Below are 26,062 nucleotides of genomic sequence, written 5' to 3'. Positions count from 1 at the left end.
TGTTGCAATATAGGAAAACAACCCAGCTCAATACCACGTTGACAGCTGGTACTTGTAGGCAAAGAGTAGAGTGTGAGGGGTCAGTGGAATGGAAAGTTACTCAGCGGGGACATTAAACCAAACTCAACTGACCTAGCAGGATTCTTGCTGAAAGCAGACCAAAGACTTGTAACATCAAAGGTGGGGAATGAGGAACTTGAGCAGGTATCAAGTTTGGGGGATTCTTGCTAACCTGACTTAACAGGATTCTTGCTTAAGGAACAGGATTGGCGCCAACGTTGTGACTTAGTAGAGAAGAGAGGCCTGACTCAAGTTTGGTGGAGGAGAGAATCTTTGTCATCCTTGCAGATGGGGGAGAAGGGGGAGAGAGTAGGTGGGACTGCAGTTATTTAACTGTGATTTTCATTCTGACTTATCTGCATTACTTCTGTGACCCTCCATAATTGACTGTGTTTCCTACTGACCATGTAAGGAGAGCAGATGCCCTTAATTATGGTGCAAAAGATGCAGGATTGAACCTAATTATACAACATAATGTTATGGCAAAGAGTTGAGGAGCCTTTCCCAAGTTGTTTTTTTAGATAAGTGGTTTTCACTAGCTTTCCAGTTTGGTACTACAGTAGATACTTTGCAAATTATTAGCTTAAGAACGGTATAGCATTTGATTTGTTTGGCCCATCTCCCATATACCATATAGTGATAGGATTATCCCTATTTATACTTTATTAGAGGCATTAAAAATTGCTAAATGCAATAGTCATTTGTTGAGCTAGTCCTGTGTGTAGGTTCTCTATTAAGCACTTTATGTATAAGGATTTAATGAGATGAATGCAACGTAGGTAAGTTATTTGTTCAAAGTAACAAAGCTTTTTAAGTGGCAGATCTTGGATTCATATCCAGTTCTGTGGAACGCCTACCTTTGGTGGTTTTTCACTGTGTCTAATGAAATACTTAAAACATTTTTAACCATGAGATACTCATTATAGGAAATTCAGATAATATAGACTAGTAAAAGATATGAAGAACAGAGTGAAAAATGTTTGTTAATTCATTAGCCACTGTTAGTATTTTAGATTTGGTCTCTCAGATTTTTTATATAGGTATTTTTTTAAAAAAAATAAAAGCTGATCATATGTTTACATGTCTTATAACATGTCTCCTTCACTTAAGAATATAAAATGGTCCCCTCTTCAACGTATATTATTTTCTTTTTTCTTTTTCTTTTCTTTTTTTTTTTTTGAGACGGAGTTTCGCTCTTGTTGCCCAGGCTGGAGTGCAGTGGTACGATCTCGGCTTACTGCAACCTCTGCCTCCTGGGTTCAAGTGATTCTCCTGCCTCAGCCTCCTGAGAAGCTGGGATTACAGGCGCCCACCACCACACCCAGGTAATTTTTTTGTATTTTTAGTAGAGATGAGGTTTCCTCATGTTGGCCACACTGGTCTTAAACTCCTGACCTCAGGTGATCCACCTGCCTCAGCCTCCCAAAATGTAGGGATGACAGGCGTGAGCCACCGCACCCGGCCTCCAACATATATTCTTATATGTCGACTGCCTAATATTCCATTGAAGGGCTTCCCATTCATGAATCTCCCATTGAACATTTAGATTTACTTTTAGGCTTTTAGTGAATATCTTCATATGTTTTCTTCAGCTCATTCAGTTGTTTCCTTATGATTAATTTCTAGACATGGAAAGCTTGGTTAGAAGCTATGCACATTCACAACTGTGATACATATCAGATTGGTTGTATCAATTCACACTGCAGCCAGCAGTGTCTACCACTTTAGTATTAAGCCTTTAATATTTGTCAGTGATCTGATAGATGAAATATACTTCATTGTAATCTGTTTGATTATTGAAGAAAATGAATAAACAGATGTATATACTTATATGTTATAGATATTTATTAGCCATTTAAATATCTTTTTGTTGTTGTTGTTGTTTTTTGAGACAGAGTCTTGCTCTGTCCTGCAGGCTGGAGTGCAATGGCACAATCTTGGCTCACTGCAACCTCCGCCTCCCGGGTGCAAGCAGTTCTCCTGCCTCTGCCTCCTGAGTAGCTGGGATTACAGGCATGCGCCACCATGCCTGGCTAATTTTGTATTTTTAGTACAGATGGGGTTTCTCCATGTTGGTCAGGCTGGTCTCAAGCTCCCAACCTCAGGTGATCCGCCCACCTCGGCCTCCCAAAGTGCTGGGATTACAGGAGTGAGCCACCGCACCTGACCCATTTAGAGATCTTTTTACGGTTTTCCTGTTTATATTCATTTTTCTGTTGAGATAATGTTTCATATTTATAAGAGCTCTTTATATTTTAAGGCTGTTCACCCTTGGCCTATTATGTTGTGATATTTTTTCTAACATGTTCATTTTTTAACTTCATTTTTTTTCTTTGCAATGCAAAATTTAATATTTGGGTGGTCATACCTAATCTCCTCTATGGCTTCTATTTCATATCAGGCTTAGAACATGTAAAGTACTAGAATAACCATCCTACTCCTTTTAGCTACTTACTGCCCTTGGTTGCAACTCATAGAAATGCCTTTGAGCTAACTTTGGGGTGGTGGGGGGAAGGAAATGGTGATTAGATACCAACTGTCTTATAGAACCCAAGTATAGGAATAACTTGGATTTTACAAGGGACTGGAACCCTGAACTAGAAAGCTATTCAGCAACAAAGTGGCCATTCTTTCAGTCTTTCACCAGGGCACGGGTGACTTCTCCATGCCACCAACAAGCAACCAGACCACATCAACTGTGGCTTCAATTCCAATTTTGAATTTTTGGGAGAGAGACTCCAATAGGTTCAGTTTGTCTCAGATGTCCACCTTCTCCACAGGTGATTATGGCTGCCAGGACCCACCCCTGAAAATGGGCAGTTCTTTAAAAAGGAGGTGGTGGTAGTTAGGGCTGGGCAGATAGTTTCGAAGATTCTACTACTATAGATAACTCAGTCAACAAATATTTGAGTACCTTATTTGTTTCAGGCACATATTAGAAGACAGATGAAATGACCAAATAGACAAATGTGTCAACAGGCAAATAGTGTTTGTGTCTGAATGTGCCTGCTGCCCTGCCTTGCAGACCTTGGGGAGCTGTCTAGGCTAGGAATTCAAAACTGCCCCAAAAATGCCATAGAAGGGATAAAGACTCAGGCCAGCTTTGGAACTAAATATGGCTATATGGCTTGAAGGTTTGTACCAATAAATGAGTATTACATGTTAATATAAGATGATGTAGCTCTTCAGCCACAGGGGTATAAACCTGGCTAGCATGACACACCAGAGCTCTGCTCATTGTTGTTTGTTCATTTGTTTGTTTTTTTGAGATAGTCTCGCTCTGTCACCCAGGTTGAAGTGCAGTGGCACAATCTTGGCTCACTACAACACCTGCCTCCCCAGTTCCAGCAATTCTCATGCCTCAGCCTCCCGAGTAGCTATGACTACAGGCACATGCCACCACGCCTGGCTAATTTTTGTATTTTTAGTAGGGACGAGTTTCCTCATGTTGCCCAGGCTGGTCTTGAACTCCTGGCCTCAAGTAATGCACCCACCTTGGCCTCCCAAAATGCTGGGATTGCAGGTGTGAGTCACTGTACCCCACCTGCTCCCTGTTATTTTATTTCTTTTGCTCATCTCATTTGTCTAGGCAGGTAGGGTAATGACAGACATATTTGGTGAATGGATGTTTATTTTATAAAACAAAAGTTCAACTTCTATAGTTTCCCCTTTTTTAATTAGTCTAAGATATTTACCTTTTTCCCTTTATTAGACATGGTTTTAATTTGATATTCATCTATTTATATTATTTTTGTAGTTTAAATGCAGGTTTATTGAGTGCATTTCCTTTTTTTGAGACAGAGTCGAATCTTGCTCTGTCGCTCAGGCTGGAGTGCAGTGGTGTGATCCAGGTTCAACGCAGCCTCTGCCTCCTGGGTTCAAGCGATTCCTGTGCCTCTGCCTCCCTAGTAGCTGCGACCACAGGCATGCGCCACCACACCTGGCTAATTTTTTGTATTTTTGGTAGAGATGGGGTTTTGCCATGTTGGCTAGGCTGGTCTCGAACTCCTGGGCTCAAGTGATCCACCTGCCTTTGCCTCCCAAAGCGCTGGGAGTGCAGGCGTGAGCCACCACACCCGGCTAATTGCATTTCTTCAATCAGTTGAAATCTCACGTTTTGTAGTCTGCTACTTGTATTGTTATCAAATGTCATCTCGGGTTTCCCTGAATATTAGCTTACAAAGAAAATGTATTCTGTTTTTTCACAATATTCTACATAAAATTCTGTGCCGGCCATTTGGCTATGAGAAAAGCTTAGAAAAAATAAGACCAGTGGATGATAGTCTCGAATGTAGTAAATTCGCATCTCCTTATGCACTTGGATTATGTCACTGTTCACCTATGTTTGTGCAAGCATGGCTGAAGGACTAACATCAAAATTCAGAAACTGGTTTCTGTAAGAAATTTGATCTAAATGCTGAGCTGACAGAGATTATGTTCAGAAGACCAGTGGCAGCACTGAAAAGTCAGCCATGTGGGTGATTCTTACAAGAGGCTTCCATCCCTGTATGTGTAACCTGGGATTTGTTCCTTGGATAGGCATCCCACCTATGATTAAGTGAGTCACCTTTTTAACCCTTTGAGTTGGTGAACTGCCTACAGTTGTCGAGTTGGCTACTGCCCCCCCCACTCTGGGCCTCAGTTTCGTCTTACAAAATGGGGTCATTGAACTGCATTGGTAGTTCTCAGAATTTTTATTTTATTCTGTAACCTTTTATCATTTCAGAAATATTGAGAAGACTGACATGAGGTTATTAACTTTATTTTGTCAAGTGTGGACATAATCAAATCTGTCATCTACCATCACCAGTGTTTCATGAAATAAAGGATTTTTAAAACCAGAAGCATAGAGGCATATAACCTCAGCAAAACAACAGTTTTTAAATCAAATAGTTTTATGAAAATATTGTTTCTATTTTTCTAAATTTTCATGGACTCATAAAACCATGTATTTAACCTGCCCTAGAGGATTGCCAATGCCCTTTGGGGTTCTAAACTCTGTGAGTTCCTGGGGTTGGGCCAGGAACCAAGTGTCTTGCCCTCAGGGCTGAGGTTTTTCACAGTGGGGCCTGCTGCCTCCTTTATTTTGATTATAACTCGGAATTATTTTCTCCCCCAGCATTTTACTATGAAAATTTTCGGCCAGGCTCAGTGGCTCATGCCAGTAATCCCAGCACTTTGGGAGACCGAGGTGGGCGAATCACCTGAGGTCAGGAGCTCGAGACCAGCTTGGCCGATGTGGTGAAACCTCGTCACTACTTAAAATACAAAAATTAGCCAGACTTGGTGGTACACACCTGTAATCCCAGCTACTCGAGAGGCTGAGGCAGGAGAATCGCTTGAACCCGGGAGGCAGAGGTTGCAGTGAGCCGAGATCGCGCCATTGCACTCCAGCCTGGGGGCCAAGAGGGAGACTTTGTCTTGTTAAAGAAAAAACAAAAAAAGAAAAAAAAATTTTCAAATGTGCAGAAAAGTTGAAACCAGTGTAGACTTAACACCCATATGACTGCCATCTAGATTCTGTAATTCACATTTTGTTAGATTTGCTTTATCATTTATCTGTGTGTGTACCCATTTCTGTGTCCATCCATCAGTCCATTCTTGAGTTATCTCTAAGCTTGTTTTTCCTTTAGTGCAGTGGCCTTAATTTATGCTTTTAAGTTCTTTTCCATAGAAAAATAAAAAAATAAGTTTGAGTGACTTTGACATCCTCAGTTGAGAAAAACAGCAGCAATTGGGTCCTTGTGCATGGAAGGGGCCACCTCAGACTTCAGTTTTATAACATTGGCCCCTGCAAATGCTCACTCAGTTGATAAGCTTCCCATAACTTAGCATCCACATAGTTGAGCTTCACATGGGGTCAAACTGGAAAGTATCTCTTTGCTATGCTCCCATTTAATTAAATTAGGAAATCTGCCTAAAACTTGAATCACTCCTCTTTTCAGCTGGTGGCCAGGCAGGAATGCTCCCTGAAGAGTACTCTTTCAATAGACTTCAGAATGTGTTACCTGAAAAGTGCTCATGATGAATCAAGACATCACTGTGTTTTCCATACTTCTGAAGTAGAGATTGTCCACTAACAGCTTAGGGAAAGCAGAGTACCCGCTCAGCTGCTCTTTTTCTGGTGTGGTCAGACCAGCTGGGTCCTCTGAAACATGAATCCATAGTGCTTCCTTTGTTATACTATTTCTGACTCAGTTTTCTCTAAACGGCTGTAAAATTTAACTGCCTAGCTGTATTTTCTTTCTGTGGACTTTATGCTCTCATATTTAGGAGAAAGAATAAGAGAACACCAACTTACATCTCTGTAGCTCTGGATGATTATTAAGGCCCTGGTCTAATGCTTAAAGGTAAGCATCTGTTATCTATATTCAATAAAAGAGGAAAATGAACCCCAGAGAGAAATCAAGTTACTTTAGAATCGCAGGCTGTCCCATGACCCTGGTGACCATCACTGAATTATTAAACCTGACCATTCATTGTGTGAAATTATTAAAAAAAAAAAGACATCCTATCCCCATAAACAAAATGCCACATAAGGGAATTAAATGCATTTTATTAACTCAAAGGAAACTAATTTTCAAGAGGCTTTACATGGAATAAAGGCATGTTGGCACATCAAGTTTTGTATAAAAGGATACATTTAACAGTACTTTAAAATAGTTCTATTGAGTATAGTAGTCTCTTAAAATTATACTTCCTTACTATATGTGCGTTCCTAAGTATAACAGTCCAAACCTTGTCAAAATTACTATATTTTTGGACTACAACTGCTATTTTAAAATATTTTAATGTTTTTGGAAAGCCTGTATGTCTTAAAAACCAATCTGTACATTTTATGTAGTGATGTTTCTTTTTTCTAAAGTTAATAAATACAGCATGTGTTTTAACATCAGTAGCTACTTAGAAGTAAGGAAATGTACTTAGGAATTCTGAATAATGGGGCTTAAATCGTAAGTGAGGTTTTATGTGAGTCCCCTGTAAAATTTAATTTGGGAGATTTTTTTACCTAAGTTTTACTTAAGCAGAGTCAAGTTTTTTGTTTGCTTGTTTGTCTTAGAGATGGCGTCTCACTGTGTTGCCCTGGCTGGAGTGCAATAGCTGTTCACAGGCACAATCATATCACCCTATGGGCTCAAGTGATCTTCCCACCTGAACCTCCCAGGCAGCAGGGAATTGTGAGTGGGCACCACCACACTTGCTTCAGAGTCAAGTTTTAATGGGAATCTTTCAAGTTAGTGAACTTTGGGGCCAAAAAGTGTGACAGCATTCAGTGTAGCATTTATACCTTTGTCTTTGGCAGCATGGTCTCTTGCGGTGGCCATCTTGAGTGTGTGCATCTACATTGCTGGCTTGCACAAGCCAGGCCTAATGGAGCCTTGCTGGATGCATGGTGTAATTAATCATCCCAGGGATGTGGGCAGACAGATCAATTACTTGCCCAGCTGAGAGGACCAAAGTGGCTTGTGTGCTCTACTGTACTTTCAGGGAGTTGATAAATAGACATTTAAGCTATTAAAAAATGGTGCATCTTTACCCTGTGATCTTTTTTGTATAAGTATAGGAAGGAAAAAAATCTTGTGATAAATTGATTTTTTTTAAAATGAAAATATGAACGGGCGTGGTGGCTCATGCCTGTAATCCTAGGACTTTGGGAGGCCGAGGCGGGCGGGTGGATCACCTGAGATCAGGAGTTTGAGACCAGCCTGGCCAACATGGCAAAACCCCATCTCTACTAAAAATACAAAAACTAGCTGGGTGTGGTAGCAGGTGCCTGTAATCCCAGCTACTTGGGAGGCTGAGGCAGGAGAATTGCTTGAACCCGGGAAGTGGAGGTTGCAGTGAATCAGGATCACTCTACTCCACTCCAGCCTGGGCGACAGAGTGAGACTCTGTCTCAATACATAAATAAATAAATAAATTAATTAATTACATAAAAATGCTATAGATTATTGAGTTTCTATATTTAAGTGGTCTGCTATGGTGTACTAATAGTCATTATATGCCTTTTTGAAAAGGTGAATGTTGACAAATTATGTTACACGCAGTCAGTAAAAATAAAAGATGGAGTGTAAATGTTCAGTAGGAAGCAAATTGTAAGGTACAGTGACTATGAATAGCCTATAAGAGGGTGCCAGTGAAAGCAGGAATGGGAAACCAAACTGACATTAATAAAGAAGGGACTATTAAGAATTTTTTCTTTCTTTTTTTTTTTTTTGATGCCGGGTGCCATGGCTCATGCCTATAATCCCAGCACTTTGGGAGGCCAATGCAGGTGGATCACTTGAGATTAGGAGTTCAAGACCAGCCTGAGCAACATAGCAAGACCCAGTCTCCACAAAAAAAAAAAAAAAAACCTCATTCAGGTGCACCTGTGGTACCAGCTACTTGGGAGGCTGAGGTGGGAGGATCACCTGAACTAGGCAGGTCAAGGCTGCAGTGAGCTGTGATCACACTACCACACTCCAGCTTGGGTGACAGAGTGAGACCCTGTCTCAACAACAAAAAAAAGCAATTTTAAAAAGAGGATTTTTTGTAACATAAAAGAGGAAATAGCTATAATATTTTGTTGTAAATAAGTAACCGAGGAGGATGGACTCTAAAAGATACATTTGGGACAAACAGTAATTTTATCAGCCTTTTAGGACAGTGTTTCCCCATAAGGTATGGTTTGGAGTGGAGCCAAAGAGTGCGATTAGATGCCCTCTTGGCAATTCTCCCTGTGATTATTAACAATGAGGCTATGCCACAGAGGACCATGCTGCTCTGTTGTTAGAACCAGGTGTCCAGAACTGGGCTGGTGACTCAGTGCAGCAGCAAATGGGAAGAAGAGAAGAATTGGCAACTCTGACTACAGCAGCTGGTGTTTATTTATGTATTTTTTTTTAATCTTGGTGTTCAGCTGGGAATCACATGGGCCCCATACTTGAAGCCCTGCCTGTCCTCTTCTCCCCATTCCCCTGTCATCAGTTTAGTGCTGACAGAGACTACCTGGCCACGCTGCCCTTTTGCCCCTTGCACACCACCTGAAGCCTTGCCACCTGCCTTGCCATCCTCAGAGGGACCACCAGATGTGATTTGTATCTGGTTCTGGGCTCCATGAGGACTTGTGCTGTAAATTCCTCAAGTCCTGGTTCCCAACCTTCTCAACATCATGAGCCCTTTTATTATTTCATTTTCTTGGATGAATTCCTTGTGAAAAATTTTGTCCAGCAAGCTGTATTAAATAAGCATTAAATTACTTCTATTAAAAAAAATTAACCAGATACATCATATCTCCTAATCATGAAGGTGTAGTGAAAATCATATTGAACTGATAACATTTCAGCCAAAAGCAAAGGATTAACCTTTGTTAACCTTGAGTACTTCTTGCCCACAATGTTAGTCATTAGCTTCTCCCCCAGCCCCCACCCCGCAACATTTAAAACAGGTTAGATCTCCTATTTCTACCTTTCCAGGTCTTCAAGGAGCCTGGACCACAGGCTAGGACTCTCTGCTCACAGGTTTGGATTTTTTATCACCTGAGTTACCAACAAACTATACTCAGATGAGTGTCAAGATCATTTTGTTTGGGTTTCAGAAGTGTAGCACCTTCCTCAGGAACACTATTTTAACGTCCCTGATGTCCTCTTTCTTGTTGAAAAACAGTCTTTTAATAGTTTTATTTTCTTGCTTTCCAAAGTGCTACAAGTTGCCCGAGAGGCACAATGCATGTCAGCTGCAAGTTTAATTAAACTCATGCTGAGACTATTATTTTTCTAGCAGAGTTTGACCCTTTGGCAAAAGTTTCTCTTGTAAAAATTTCTATCTCCACTGACTGTGGATGAGAAGAACTTCAAATTATCTTTAGATGTTTACTAACCTGTCAAAGTGGAGGAAGGCATTGGTTAGTCAGGAACTTAGAACATAAACTATCCATATATTCTATCACCTGTAATTAGCTTCGATTGATAATTTGTGTGCACCTATTAGTACATATCTATTTTCCAACTGCGATAATTCTACATACTGATGAGTTTTTTCACTTCAAATGGAGTCACTGTCTTCCCATGTAAACAAATATTTTACTCTATCATTTTTAATAGCTGCATTGTATTCTATTTATGGTTGTAACACACATTTTTTTTCCTTGATGTTAGCCAAGTTTTTACTATTGAAAGCAGTCCTGGGATGAACCTCCTTGTAGGTAAATCTTTGCTAAGCTATAATTTGAAAAGTGACATTTTTCTGGGAAAAATACTCAAAATGGACTTTCCTAATATTTCTTGTGACATTATTTAATAGTTAGAAAAGATCAATGTTTAGATTGAAAATTGTTTTGGGAAGTGTTAGCTATATACTTTAATGTACTTTACCAAAGTAGTGTTTTGGTGAGCTGGACATACTGATTAAAAAGCATTATTGCTTCACCTTAATATTTAGGTTTCAATTGCCCCTATTTTGGTACCATCATGCATTTACTGTATGCTTCACATGTCTTAAGAGGCAAAAGATACAGAGGTTTTAACCTTGGGAGGCTCACACTCTTCTTGGGAAAATAAGTTAATGAAAAATTGAGAACCCATGCACAGCATGACAGAGGAGTAGCATGGTGCTGGGGTGGCACCATGATCAATAACTTGAAGGGGCAGCTTGAGGTAGTCTTGGCTCTTTCCCTAGCCAGTCTGTGGCTTCAGCAAGCAGCCTCACTTTTTAAATCCTCAGTTTGCATATTCATAAAGTTAGGTCATCGACTTAGCCCTTCCCAGCTGTACAGTGCTGTGGGAGTAAGTGTCATAAGAGAAGTTGGGTACTTCTTAATTTCTACTGACTTTTCAGTGGGATATTTGTATACATTACAAATTAACATTTTTTCATCTGCCTTGTCTGCTTTATCTTAAAATCTCTGAATATGCATTTTAACAAAAAGTGGAAGTGAATTGAAAATCTAGTTACATTTGATTTTATGAAACAAATGTCTAAATCTAACAGCACGAAAAACCAAGTATGGTGTAGTGGAAACTAATCCCCTTGCTTAGAGGACAGTATCCTGCTCTCCCCACCCTTTACAGCATGAAGAATGAGCACCAAGCACAGGTTATAATATCGTCTCCAGAAAAAAAAATCAAAAAATAAAAATAAACTTCAGTAGCCTATCCTGAATTAAAAGAGACTAAATGTTTAGGCTTTTCTCCCCTAATTCTTTTAAAGTAATGTGATATGTTACTATATTGTCCAGAAAGGATGATTTGAAATATTTGCCTGGAAGGGGGATATGCTTCAAAATCTTATCAGTGAAGCAAACAAAATCATGGTGGTGATGACAAGCTTTTCCTTCCACTTTGGAATGTCCATTTTGAGACATGGTTCTGTTACAGCCAAATTATAATTTGTAAGGTATGTAGATATCTAATTAGGGTCGACTAAAAGTTGAAAAAATGTAAAATTGAAAGCTCTTACTGACCCTTCCAGGAAAAAAAGAAATGAAGATCACAACTAGATCTGATTTCAGCCTTTTCATTTAGCCCCAAGTTGTCTGTAGGTGGGTGACCTGAGGACATCTACATGGCTGTCAGAATTGTGCTGCCACTTGGCACAGAGCTAATGTTCTCCCACTTTGGCCGTTAAATTGCCGCAGAAAGCAGCTGCACTTGATGTAATTTTAATCAATACTTTGTACTTATACGTGGCCCTGCAGCCACGTGTCACTGTACTGCTCTCAGCATCTCTGACCTGAGTAAAGGACGCAGAGGCTTGCTTGAGGTTTGGTTTTGAAAATTCACATAAGTCAAATTATATTTTAAAAGCACCAGGAAGCTTGCTTTGTGACCTATGTCAGTGCAAGACATTTTCATAATGTTCAGAATGGTACTGTTAATCAGTATTGGTTCTTTGTAAGTTGAACTTTCACATGCTACCTTTTTTTTTTTTTTTTAAGTAGAGGGTAACTAGTGGTCTGTTCATTTCAGATGTTAAGCGACCGACAGCTAGCATCAATAGCTCCTTGAAGGTCATCAGGGTTAAGTGGCTAAGGATGAATGACTGGGACTCTGCCTACATCAGCTTCCTCCCTAATGTGCTTTTGAATATTCTTCAAGGATTGATTTATTACTTTTCAGTAACTCCATTTATACCAGAACTGCTTCAGCATCCATTTCTATAGTAGAGTTCTTCTGATTTAAGTACAATTCATTTAAAACAGTATGCTCAAGTAATTTTTTTGTCACCAAAAAAAAAAATACTCTTGGTGTTTGCACTTAAGTACATATCTTTTCCTGAGATATATTTATTTTTACTATATCTCAAAGCAGTGATTTACCTCATCAGTAAAGCCAGTTTTGCAGCTCTGTTAGGAATCTAAATAGTTTATTCTATTCAGTAAATATCATTGGTTAGGTACTTATAGACTTAAAGATGAACCATCTCTACCTAACATTCACACTTTTCAGACTATATTATGAGACAGATACCAAAACAGAAGATGTTTAGATTGTGTTATGTTATTAAATGGTTTGATAGTTAAGATTGTTTATTAAAGAAGATGATGTATGATCAACAATGCCCATATTTAGCAAGCCATATTAGTTACAAGTAAAACTTAAGACTATTTCAGCTCGGTTGACAGAAAACCATTCAGTTAACTCAGTTTTCAGTCAGCTAACATTTATTAAACCTCCTCATGGAGTGTAAGGAAGGCTCTGAAGGTTAAAAAATATATTTTCTATTTTCAAGGGGCTCACAAGTTAGCAGGGGAGACATTGTGTGTATAACTATAATATAATAAGCTACTGTGATGAAGGCATTGATCACATGTGCTGGGAACCCAGCAAATGGGCACAGGCTGGTTAATTCTAAGTTTGGAGAAAATGGGAAGGGGTGAGCAAAGCTGACTGACTGTTCGAACCCTGGAAGAACAGGTTTTGTGTAGAGGAGGCACATGAGGGAGACAGCAGCATGAGGAAGGTCATGACGGTTTGAAAGCGGCTATTTCTGGGAATTAGAAAAATCTTTTGTGACTATTTGTAGGCCTGTCAGAATCCCCACGTGGAGCCTGAACCACCTGACACTAGACATACAATGGTTCTTCCTTCTTACAGAAAGAGTGGGTGCTGGTAACATTTGACTGCTCTTTAGGTCTGCCAGGCATGTCCTCTGGAACCTCTCTGTAGGATTGGTGATTCCCTTCAATCATGTCTGAATGATGCCTCTGTATTTAGGACTCTTGCTGGGCTGCTCTTGGGTACGCCTGTATGCAATGTATCCAGGATTGAAGGGGAAGTGGGAGGGACTTTCCTTCTCAGGTAAAACCTGGGATTTGTCATGGATGGAGGTCCCAGGTGAATTCACTAAGGACCACAATTTTTGCTACAGAAAAGGTAATAATCCCTCATTTGCTGGTTTGATCACCTGGACGTTTCCTGCACAAACTCTGCTGCAGCTGTGCCCAAAGCCCTCCAACCATTCCTGATTGAACCACGCAGGGAGCAGAGCCAGTGCTGGAGCAGACAGCAGAACTCCTGAAGGTCGCGCGTGAGGCAGAGGGCTGCAGGCGCTGCAGGCACTCACCACATATGCCAAGAAATAAAGAGCCACTGAAACCCTAAGCCAAGTTTCTTTTGTCCTGAGATTTCTAACTCATTGCAGTTAAAAATCATCCAAGTAAGAGTCCAGAAGGCACTAACTCTTAACAACAACAACAAAAAACAAAAACTGCATAGAGGCAGGGACAGGGCTCAAGAGGTAGGTTTGCATAAGATTGTGAACGCCCTTGTATGTCATCAAAAGGAACTTTATTTACATCATAAGCAGTGAGCAGCCACAAAGAATTTTTTTTAGTAAGCAAGTATTGGGAATGACATGAGGTTTATGTTTGGGAAAAGTAGCAGATATGGGAGTGAAACAGATGAAGGGTGAAGTACAATGGTGAGTTGGAGAAGAGGCCTTGTTGGAGGCTTTCTAGATAGTAAAGCTAATAGATTGTGGGACTGTTTGGGAATAAGGAAGAGAGATGTTAGCGACATCTAGCGCATACCCTTCTTTCTCCGTGTGGGCACATGGGAGGCTTACACTTCTCTGCTCCCTTTGTAGGTAGATGAGTCCATGTGACTCGTTCTGGCCAGTATATTTGAGCATAAATGAAGTGTCACTTCTAGGCTGATGCATATAATTGTCATTGGAAGACCTTCCAGTATTGTCTTCCTCTTGAATGATAATGGAGAAGGCTAAATGTTAACACTCCACACAGCACGCTTGTGTCTTCCATTTCTTTCATTTGTTGTCCTAGCGTCCTGTGTCTTTAACCCTCCATCACCTTCCCTCTCCCACAGATGTGCTAAGTCATTGCTATTGGGTAAAACAACACACTTCCTTTTCCAGGCTGCATCACCCCTTCAAGTTACTGTGTGTACTATTGCTCCCTTTTTAAGAAAATCTTCCCCTCCTTGTCTTAGTTTGTGTTGCTGTAAAGGAATACCAAAGGCTAGGTAATTTCTAAAGAAAAAACATTTATTTGGCTCATGATTCTTCTGGCTGGAAGATTGGGCATCTGGCGAAAGCCTCTGGCTGCTTCCACTCATGGTTGAAGGCAAAGGACAGCCAGCATGTGCAGAGGTCACATGGCAAGAGAGGAAAGGAGGTGCCAAGCTCCTTATAACAACCAGCTCTCAGGAACTAATAGAGTCAGAACTCACTCATTGCCATGAAGATGCACCAAGCCATTCTTGAGAGATTTGACTCCGTGACCCAAACACCTCCCACTAGGCTCCAATTTCAACATTGGGGATCAGATTTCAACCTGAGACTTGGTGGGGACAAACCAAACTACAGCACTCCTTTATTTCCTTCCTTATAGAAATGTATATTGGGCCAGGCATGGTTGCTCACGCCTGTAATCCCAGCACTTTGGGAGGCTGAGGCCAGCGGGTCACTTGAGGTCAGAAGTTCGAGACCAGCCTGGCCAACATGGTAAAATCCCATCTCTACTAAAAATACAAAGTTAGCCAGGCATGGTGGCGCATGCGTATAATCCCAGCTACTCAGGAGGCTGGGGCAGGAGAATCGCTTGAACCCGGGAGGCGGAGGTTGCAGTGAGCCGAGATTAAACCACTGCACGCCAGCCTGGACAACTGAGTGAGGCTCTGTCCCACCAAAAAAGAACCCCCCAAAAAACCAGTATATTGAATGCTTACTTTGTCAAAAACTTGTCTGGGTGCCAAGTACACAAAGACAAGACAAACCTCTTTTCCTGAAGTTGTCTAGCAGGAGTCCCATCCAGCCGAACAAGCCACTGTAGGAAGGCTTCCCCAGGACATGAGTCAGGAGCTGAACCATAAAGCAGCCAGCCAGACAGTGGAGAGCTGGAAAGGAAAGCGAGTGTGGGTGCATGGAAGGGCAGAGTAGGATGCGCCTGGGAAACTGTGGGGTGCTCTCCATGCATTGCTTCCACTTCAGTGCTACTTAGGAAAACGCTCACCTGTAGTGACCTTCTAGGTGCAGATGGTCACTTTGAAAATGTGCGCATCTTCCACATCCTCACCGCAACAGTAATTGTCGCTGCTCACTCTCTAGTCCACGAAGTCTTTTATCCTGTAACTTCTGGGGACTCCTTCAGGTTCTTTTTCTAGTTTTCTCACCACATTCCCTTTTCTTCTCAAATCTCCCTTAAATACTGATGTTCCCCAAGCTTTCTAGAACATTTCCTCCCTTTCTTCCCCATCTTCATTAACAATTTTATCCATATCACTTTCTTTGGAACTTGAAGAATTTACCTATAGCCTTGCTTCTCCCTTAAGCTCTCCATGGGGTCCCTTCTGCTGTGATCTTTCCTTCACTCTGCCTGCCCATACCATATGCTTTGCATGAGCCTGCATTTATATTTGTTCAAAATGTGAGTATAAATTATAGTAGCCGTAAAGGACATGGTGGATACTCCGTGCCTGTGGAATCATCTACAAACTAATGGTTTTTGACAGTGCCAGGTGGAAGCAGTTGGATAATGCTGAGGCTTCACTGTGTCAATACCTAGGAACAGCTGGGGAACAAATCTGCTTTTAGTTTCTAGAGCTACGTCAGTCTGTTAATAAAATTCTCTTGTAGGTACTCTGGGAGTATGGATATGTTCCCTTGTCCAATTACATTGTGGTGGATTCTTTTTTTGGTTAATTGCCCTGTAGTGAGTTAATACCTGCGTTTGTCTTATTAGCTTTGAAAAACAAAAAACAGATTGAGTCTGTATATTGATTCAGACTTACCTTCTGGGATATCATAGTAGAAGGTTAACTACTCTTGTACATTCTGTACATTTCTGCCAAATCTCGTGTGATGGCCATTAAGATGCTGCTCACCAATTCTCAACTTCAAGTCTCCTCCTCCTGGGCACACTGCTCTTCCCCTCCTATTCCTTCTGCCTCAGCAAGGGGTGACCCTCCAGATTGTGGAAGCCCTGTCCTTCCTGAGAGAAGAGACACGGAGCCAACCTGAAATGGACGCGTAGAGTGAATGAAAAATAAACATCTGTTACTGCCACCATAATGTAGCCCGCAAGTTTTATCAGTACTTAGAAAAGTAAAGTTAATGGTTGTTTGGGGAATGAAGGTGGTTCTAGATTTTACTGTCCTAGGCAGTAAGTTGGGACTGTGAAGAAATAATTTTTTCTGCTAAATGAATGTTGTTAGCTTCATAAGTAGTTTTTCACTATGTTATCTGAATTTCTAATTAGAGTCCTTTCATATAATCACCACTTTTTTGCGTTGTAGGCTCAAGAGTATTGTGAAATGGATGCCATCTTTTTCTTTTTTAATTGAAAGGGGGAAACAGGTGAGTTCCTCAAAGATTTAATAAGGAATATCAGCAAATGTTGCCAACTGTTGTGAAGACTCTGGGATTTAACAAGAACCAAGACAAGACCTGAGGCTTTGAGAATTAAATCTAGCAAAGGAGATAAGCAACCTAAGGATCAGGCGATAAGGGGTGTCATTGGAGTACACATGTGTGAGGGACAGGATGAGAGGGCTAACCAACCAGTGTTCTGGTTTGGGGGAAGTTTTCTTGGGGAGATGACAGTGGTTCATTTCTTCAAACAAAATTTGTTAGACATCTGTCCTACTTTGTGACAGGTGATGGAGTAGATGATGGGCATGCAGTAGAGGGAAAGCGTGGTGCCTGCCCTTGCAGAGTGCACAGGCAAAGCTAGGACCTGAAGGATGAGTGATTAGCAGGAATCAGCCAACCCATTCTCTGAAAGTAGAAACTGATGTGCAAAGACTCAGAAATAAGTAAATGCTGGGGTTGAAAGATGAGGCTCAAGAGGAGCTGGGGACTGGAGGATGGGTGCCCTCACACACTGTAAGATCTCCAAACGGACTTGTCAGGTAATGCTGACTCGTACATTTAGGTAATTAAGGTCAGTAAATGAATTGTACAAGATAACAAACATATTTCTTGGAAATCTGATATGCAAGAAAAACTAACAGTTTTGAGCTCTACCTTTAATTTAAAAATGTGTTAAAGTAAAAATTGCCTTTTGGGACATTAAGGAGAACTTTTACATCGTAGGGTTTAAAAATTTGACAAACTCGTATAATTTCAGATCTTGTCATATTGTTGGGGGAAATATCTTTCTGATGATCACAGTGCCACTCTGCTCAATTTTTGCTAGCCCCACTCAGACTTTGGAGTGCCGTGTAGGGACCACATATCTGATACAGATATCATTAGACCCCCTGAAGAATACCAGTAATTTACATTACTTCTAGCTTTTCAGGTTTTTAGCTGATTTGCTTTCTAGGCCTTGGGAAGTAGGTAGTGGTGGTGAGATTTCATGGCCACTGGAGATTTTCTGTCCCACATTCTCTTGTTTTTGTTCCCAGTTTGCGGAGCCTGCCACATTGTAGGTGCTCAAATATTTACATAATTTTTTTAGTTTTTATCATGGATCTTTATTTAAACCTTCCATTATTATTTAACAGTTCACCTGTGAGTACTTTGTATTCTGAACTAGAGTAAGCTTCCTTGCGGGCAGCTGCTTTGTATACCTCAGATTTGCTGGCTGGTGCTCCAATGGCTTGGTCTGATTCTTCAGATAAAATGAGTATTGCTAGAGGGAGATAACAGTTGTTAATGCATGGGACAGGCAGGAGGTGGTGACCGTTTTTCTTATCAAGAGATATCGCTAAGCAACTGCTAAGCCCTTCCTTCGTCAGCTAATTCTCTCAGTCATGGTGTGTTAGCCTGGATAAAGTGCCATAAGTCAAAAGGATATAGACATAAAAGGAATTTTCTCTAAAAATTGTCATCACAGGCATCAGATTTCTGAATCCAATGTGCTAAATTATTTTTATACAATTGACTTAAATATATTGCTTCATTAAAAAAAAAGAAATAGAGAAAATGTCCAAAGAATTAGTATCTTTCTCTCTTTGAATGCCCTCCTGCCAATACCTGCCCCTGGTTATGTTACTGAAAAGTTCTTTTGAGGGACTGATAATCTTTAGGTTATTCAAACTTTTCCTGAACTACAAAAGAATATGAATAGGCACATCTTAAACTGATTAATATAAATAGACATAAGCATCCCAATGTATTCACTTAATCACAATTTGATAATGTGGCCCACAGCACCTCGTATGGTCTTGTCTCTTTCTGATTCCCTTCCATCCTCCCCTCTCTCCTGTGCTCCATCCACACTCATTCTTTTGCATTTTCTCCAACCTGCTGTCATGTTTCTTCTCCACTCCAGGCTTTTCGTGCATACTGGTTCATCTGTGGAGAATGGCCTCCCCACCACTCTACCTGGTTAACTCCTGCTTAGCCTCAGGTTTCAACTTCAATAGCCCTTCCTCGAGGCCATTTCTGAACCCCAGGATAAATTACCACCTCTCTGCAATTAATGTTATTAAAACCTCCGTAATCTTCAGCACAATAGTTGGTATTATAATTATGTCATTCTTCAATTCCACAATGGTATTCATTATAATACACACTACTGACTTGCTTTAATAATACTTTGAGACGCATTCTTTTGTTCACTGCCACGTGCGAAGGTGATGTTTTAAGTGCTGGGGAAATGGTGAGCAAAGCAGTCTCTGCCCACAGACAGCCTCTATTCTAGTGGGTGAAGCAGATAATTTGCAAATAAATATGTAGTGTGATGACAGCTACCTGTAAGTGCAGGGAAGAGTCCAAAGAATGAGACAGACAAAAAAGAGGGCCATGCTCCTTCACAGAGAGTGTCAGAGAAGAGCCCTCTAGGGAGGTTAGTTGTTGACCTGAGTGAAATCAGAGAGTGACATACATCAACAGATGGGGGCTTAAGAGTGTGCTGGCCAGCAGAAATCAGATGTGCAAGGACACCAAGATTGGGATATGCTTGTTGTGTTTGAGGACCAGCAGGGAGGTGAGGGTGGCTGGGGAGAAGGGAACAAAGGAGAGGGAGATAGGAAATGAGGGTCCAGAGGAGATTAGATGGCTGAGGCCAGTGGCTGCTGAGATGGAAGGTCAGTGGGAGATTTTGCGCAGAGGAACATGGGAAATTGTTTTAGAACGATGGCTTTGGCCACCATGTGGGAGGTAAATTGTAGCTAGCAGGGGCAAAAGCAGGAAAAGCAGTTGAAAGCTTTTGCATTACTCCGGGTATAAGATGATGTCAGTTTGGGCCAGGATGATAGTAGTGGAAGGAATAAAATGCAGTAGGATTCTGGATATAGTTTGAAAGGAAAGATGACAGGATTGATTGGTGAACTGAGTGAGAAAAAGAGGAGTCAAAGATAATTCCGGATTTTCAGCCTGAGAAACTGGGTGAATAGTGGTTCCATTTTCTAATACTTAAGAAGCCCAGGGGATAGGGTGGGGTGGGGGACTGGTGGGAACTGGTGTAGTGTTGTCCTTAAAGGAATGGTCTCCAGAGTCCATTGGCCCAAGTTCCAATCCCAAATCCACCCCTTTAAGCAGATAGTTAATGCCAGTTTTCTCATCTGTAAGCCAGGGATTAGTCATAACTGATAAGATGCATGTGAGGATTAAATAGATAAGGGAAAATGTTTTTCTTAGAGTTGAGAAAACGTGGTCCATAGTAATTTGTAATTATTTGTTTAATATCTACCCACTCTACTGGAGGCTCCTTCGGGGTGTGGTCTGCATCTCTTTTGTTACCCATTTATTCCTTGCCATAGCATAAACTTGGCACTTAAGAGGAGTCCATTCCTTCGGGTGGTTGCAGCCCCTACTATGATACAAACCACACTTTGGCCCCTCAGCCAGCATATTTGTGCCGTGGACTTCTACTCAACCTTATGTGCCATTCTTGGTTAGTTTTCTCCACTTGCATAACATTCAGAGTGCAGATAGTAAATAACTTTTGGTTAGTAAAAATATGCTTTCCTTGGGTAGGATTTTAAAAATAAAATAAAAATGAGCAAAACTCAATTTCTTTCTTTCTTTCTTTTTTTTTTTTTTTTTTGAGACGGAGTCTCGCTCTTGTCACCCAGGCTGGAGTGCAGTGGCATGACCTCAGCTCACTGCAACCTCCATCTCCAGGGTTCAAGCGATTCTCCTGCCTCAGCCTCCTAAGTAGCTGGGATTACAGGCGCCCACCATCACGCCTAGCTAATTTTTGTACTTTTAGTAGAGATGGGGTTTCACCATGGCTGGTCTCGAACTCCTGGCCTCAGGTGATCCGCCCACCCTCGGCTTCCCAAAGTGCTGGGATTATAGGCATGAGCCACCGCACCCAGCTGCAAAACTCAATTTCTAATGACCTGTCATGCATGCACGATTTTGATTGTAAACAAGTCAATAAGGAGATTGTCCTGTACTCATCGTCAATACTTTTTAATCTTGTGTACTACATTTTAAAATAAAGGGAATGTTAATTTCTTTTCTGCCTTGAGCTTTTAAAAATTATCTTAATTGATGTTGCCCTGATAGCTTCAGAGGCTGGTTTTAAAGCCTTTACACTCTGTTCTGAATGTAGAGAGAGCATTACAAGGACAGCCATGAGGGGGAGAAGGGTACTCTTTCTGTCAGCCTCTGGGAGCTGCATTGGTTGTTAGGCACCTTTTTCCAGATCTGAAACTGAAGTGCAGGCTGGTATGGAGAGCTTGTCACACGTGTGTGACTAGTAGAAAACTTAGGATGAGTTCCTCTTTTTGGTACAGGTACACGTTTAAATTCTCCAGGTCACACAGAGCACTATTGAGATTCAGGCTGGAATGATACAGCCTTCTGTGTAACAAGTACTTACTGGATAAACAAAGGAGACTTAGACTAGAACATTTTTATGTTGCTTTTTTGGGAACTGAGTTTCAGAGTTGAGGTTTTTGACTTGGCAATTCATTTGAGAAAGAACCGCTGACAGGTAGTCCCAGTAAAAAGAGTGGGGCAGAGAACCCAAAGGCAGCATGGGACAGTGGAAGAGCCTGCAGGGTTTGGTGGCAAACCTGAACACAGGTCTGAACACTCAAACTGCACTGATGTCCTTGTGCAATTTGCTCATTTCTGCAGAACTCCATTTTCTCCATTACTAAAAGTAGGGTAATAATATCCAGCTCCCAAGACTCGTGATGATGAAATGTAATGATCATGGGAATCTCCCTCTGCAGTGCCTGGCACATGCTGGTGCTCAGTGAGTGCCATTTGCTTTGTTGCCTTTCTCCCATGAGTGAGCATTTAGATTGCATGTCTTAGATGGAGGGTGGGAAGAACAGGGAGAAAGAATTGTAGAAATAATAATATCAGCCTTTCAAAAAGAAAAACATTAAATTTGCCAGGAGAGTAGTTGTCAGGTATAAACCCAAAGATTTGGAGGTGATCGATCTTGTTTGATTTAATCCCTGTAGGGGAAATGGGTCAGTGGAATCTTGAGAGTATTTCTCAGCTCCATTTTCACCCCTCTCCACATCTGAAACTTCACCATTGTATTTCATTGTTCTAGACACATTTATATTCTTCATCATTTCAGATTCATTTTATTTCAAAGCTATAACAGAAGGAACGTGTTGTTACGCTATACATGTCTGATTGGATTTATACAACAAACTGAAGCCAGGTTCTATTGTAGTTCATTTCCCATTATCCCCCTGTCCTACTTTTAATACGGAAGAACTCTTATCAACTGTGTAGCATTTTTATCTCATATCTTCTTCTATTGTTGCCTCTACCTTTTGTTTCCCTTGGGGTCATGGTGATGGAAGAAGTGGATAACTGTGCTTCTGAATAGTCTTTTATGTGGAGAAATACAGTTTACTCCTCTGGACATCATGTTGGTGACCCACTTTATGTATTCTTTAATATTCTAGGGGTTTTTGTTCATAGAGAGAAGCACCTGCTACTATTTGTAATTTAGCGCTCAAACTATTAAATTTGTATCTAAAATCAAACTTTGAAAATTAATTTCTGAAATCTGTTTGAACATGGATTACCGACTTAACTCTTTTAACAACTTAAACTGCAATGTTGATTCTTTTGAGCCCCCTGACACTGGAAACAGCACACAAAGATCCAGTGATTATGAAACATAAAACATACTTAAAGCTGTTGTAAAATACCAATGCCATGGTGGTTCATTTGTTGTTCTTAAACTTGTCTGTTTACTTTCCTAAGTTTGTAGCAACATATATTTTGATAGTGTCCAGTGTTAGAGCAATGTGCATTTTGAGACTTTTCTACAGTAATATAGTACTAGTACATTTCCACAATTACAGAAACTTTATTGGAGCCAGAAAGATAGTCTGACCAGCTGATAACTGATCTAGTTATTTTTGGCCATCTCTAGCTTCATCAAATCCAAGCCACTGGTCATCTGGCTAGGCTCCATTTTATATTTGTCCACAATTTGTTACAGCAGTAAGATTTTGGAGTTATACTTTCCACACAAGTTCTAGTTTTTTTGAAGCATGGTGCTTCTCCCAGAATGTTTTCTTTTCCAAGTTTTGCTTGGCTGGCATCTCATAGTCCATTGTCCTGTCCTCCTAATCTTTGCCTGGTTCTTTGCATCATCATATGGAAGCTACCATATGATCTATTACTATCTCCATTAGTAAGACATGGAAGGGGTATTATCTCCTAGGATATGAGGGATGAAGTCTGTGGTTAATACACCTCTTAGAACATTTAGCGAATTCATCATCTTGACACACTTCGATTTTCTTTCCCCCTGGTTTTTAAGTATGTTAAAGCCTTCCTGTTATTGGTCTACTCTGTCTTACCGAGGACTAGTATTACTAAGTTCCTGATGTTCATTCTTCTCTACTTAAACGGATAAATATTTAATAGAAGAAACAAAACACCTAGCACTCTTCCATTTATTAAAATAAAGTGGAATGGATACTCTCTTCCTTTCTTTTGTATGATAACACCTCATTGTGTGCTTTATATTAACTTTTTCATGTGTGGGATATCATGAAATCATGTCTTTCACATTTAGATGGCCTTACTATTTTTGATGCCCACATTGTCCCATCTTGGCTAGTGATTTGTCTTTTCATCACTACCCCTGAGCTCCATGAACATCTTCTATCTTCCTACTAGCCACACGTTGAGCCTTGCCAATCCCTAACTTTCCCCGCCCCAAGATATGGAACTACCCTCTAAGAAACCCTGGCTTCTTTCTCTGGAGAACAGTTTGACACCAAAATCTAGGTGCTAGTTTTATTTAACAATTACTTACATGATGCTCACTGTGTGAGATACTGTTCTGAGCTCTCTACCAATACTGTCTCATTTAATTGTTGTAACAACCCTATGAGATGGGTACTGTTATCTTTGTCACAGATGAAGAAATTGAAGCCCAGGAGAGAGAACTAGCTTGTTTAGGGTCACACCATGAGTAAGTGGCAGAGCTGGAATTTTAACCTAGAGGGACTGGCTCTGAAGCCCCCTCTTAGCCACTATCCCTGTTATTAGGAGTGAATGCTGCTGGCGTGGGAAAAGGCTGCTGTGGCTGTTAGGCTACATCTAGGTCAGAGCTGAAAAAAAAATGGCCTTTAAAGCTTATAGGTTTGCATTGATTTTTTCTAAGAAATTAATATTTCATATACTAAGATACTGATTTTGGGCACGCTACTATTTTATATACTAATAAGGAAAAGAAGACATTGCAGACTTAACTGTGACACAGTCCACATGCTGATGGTCCTGGTGACCTCTGAATAGCTCACACCAACCTCCGTAGCTTTAAAATGTCTTTATTTCACTTCAAGGGTGGAAATTCCTCCTGCCTTTACTTTCATTGCCTGGCATCTGACAGCAATCCTTTTGCCCATATCTCATAACAAAACATATGGCACCGTTCTGTCTACTGGTCAGTTTCTTCGTTTCTTAGAAGGGCCCATGAAGCCGTCGGGTGCAGCATTGTAAGAAAATATGGCATTGTGTTCACTGATCTATAAGAAATATTTACAGGGAGTTCGAGGTCAGCCTGGGCAATATGGAGAAAGCCCATCTCTACAAAAAATAAAAGAAAATTAGCCAAGCATCATGATGTGTGCCTACGGTCCCTGCTACTCAGAGGCTGAGGTGGGAGGATTGCTTGAGCCTGGGAGGTGGAGGTTGCAGTGAGCCAAGATCATGCCACTGCACTCCAGCCTGGGCAACAGAGTGAGACTCTTTCTCAAAGAAAAAAAAAAATTTATGAAGAACTAATTTTGTACCCCACAGCTCTGTTTGTGGGCCTTTTTGTTACTAGATTACTTTTTTGTTTTAATGCTTTATGTAATGTAGCCTTTTTGAAGGCTTCTTCAATGGTATCTCGGTTCCCTACAAGAAATACCAACAGTGAATGTAATTCCTTTGAAGTGAAGGCAATATGACAGCCTTAACCATTTCGACTTCGTATTACGTTTCTCTATCCTGTTCTTTTTATGGTATGAGGTTTCATCAGTCACTAAGATTTGCTATTACAGGGTGACTCTAAAAAAATAAATCGACCCTTTCAGAAATGTATTACCCATTAATTAGATTAAATATGAACATCAGTGTACACCAAATTTTGCAGCTGCCTTTCTATTTCTCAGTTCTCTTCTAGAAACTGAAGCCTCCCTTACAAATATATTTTGACTGAATGTTCATATATAACCTAGTTATTGAATAACATTTATTGAAATGTTCAATTCTTTTAGACCCCCACCCCACTCCCCCACCCCATGGCAACTAGACACAGTACTGGTTACTTAGTACACATAAGGTTTGCAAATCTTAAGTAAAGTTGATTATTCGTGTCTTATGTTTTCTGCCATTGAAGGAATTGGCGGTGGGTGGATATTTTCCATGATTTTCTGTCTGAGTGTATCTAAAATCACAGAGTTCTTGTGCTCAGTGGTTAAGGGACACCTGGCCCTCAGGCCTAGTTGTTACTTAACCAGAATTAATTTTATTCATCATTGTTATTTTCCTGTCCCTTCCTTCAAATATCACAAAAGCATTAAAATATGGAGGATGAGATTGCATCGCGGGTGGAAGTCTTAAAATAACATTTCAGGGTATTTCTGGACGGTGCATGTGCTTGACTTCCTGTTGCTTTGTCTTTAGCCAAGCTCTGTGTTCTCCTTTTAGAGTTTTTGCCACTGACACGCTTCCACCCCTTCACCAGCTGTTTTATCTTAATCTTAAAAGCATTAAAGAAGCTTTCAGACTTGATGTGGATGGAGGCATGTCTAAAGAAATGAACTGCACCAGCTACTTCAAATGGGAAAAACTTGGAATCTGGTAATGTCTGAATGCAGTGGCCATAAAGCTGGACTCTTGCCAGTGTATTATATTTTCTGTCCATGTGTCTCAGGAGGGGGTGACAACTCACATAGTGAGTTGTCCATATTGGGCAATATAATTGTGTCCTCCAAAAACCAGCAATTTGAGTACTACCTTAGTACCTTGTAAAAAAGCAGTGATCAAATACTTAGTCTAGTGGTATTAGTTCAACCCATTTGATGGGGCAGTATTCCATTTGCCATAGGAGATAGGCCTGTATGATTGCCTAAACTGTGGCTGGATGTTTCAAATCACAAGTGGGCCCTCCATCTAGAGTAGGGCC

General features: G+C 40.7%; 1 protein-coding gene across 3 annotated transcripts in view, besides 2 other annotated features; it reads left to right on the top strand.

Annotated features, from left to right (window-relative positions):
• Positions 1-26,062, top strand: part of PPM1H (protein phosphatase, Mg2+/Mn2+ dependent 1H) — a 291,157-nt gene that overhangs the window by 6,249 nt on the left and 258,846 nt on the right. The gene's annotated exons all lie outside the window — the stretch shown is intronic.
• Positions 14,659-14,953: a silencer, noted in NCBI's record as "tiled region #8347; HepG2 Repressive non-DNase unmatched - State 15:Elon, and K562 Repressive DNase unmatched - State 5:Enh". NCBI's record gives its function as "represses a minimal TATA promoter and a strong SV40 promoter by Sharpr-MPRA in HepG2 and K562 cells {active_cell/tissue: HepG2 | K562}" and the evidence as "EXISTENCE:reporter gene assay evidence [ECO:0000049][PMID:27701403]".
• Positions 21,493-21,675: a silencer, noted in NCBI's record as "fragment chr12:63301007-63301189 (GRCh37/hg19 assembly coordinates)". NCBI's record gives its function as "represses an EF-1alpha promoter that drives an FKBP-Casp9 reporter gene in an ReSE screen in phorbol 12-myristate 13-acetate-treated (for megakaryocytic differentiation) K562 erythroleukemia cells {active_cell/tissue: K562(+PMA)}" and the evidence as "EXISTENCE:reporter gene assay evidence [ECO:0000049][PMID:32094911]".

The sequence above is a fragment of the Homo sapiens genome, chromosome 12, assembly GCF_000001405.40.
Source record: "Homo sapiens chromosome 12, GRCh38.p14 Primary Assembly".
NCBI lineage: Eukaryota > Metazoa > Chordata > Mammalia > Primates > Hominidae > Homo > Homo sapiens.
This window is presented reverse-complemented; position numbering and strand designations above follow the sequence as displayed.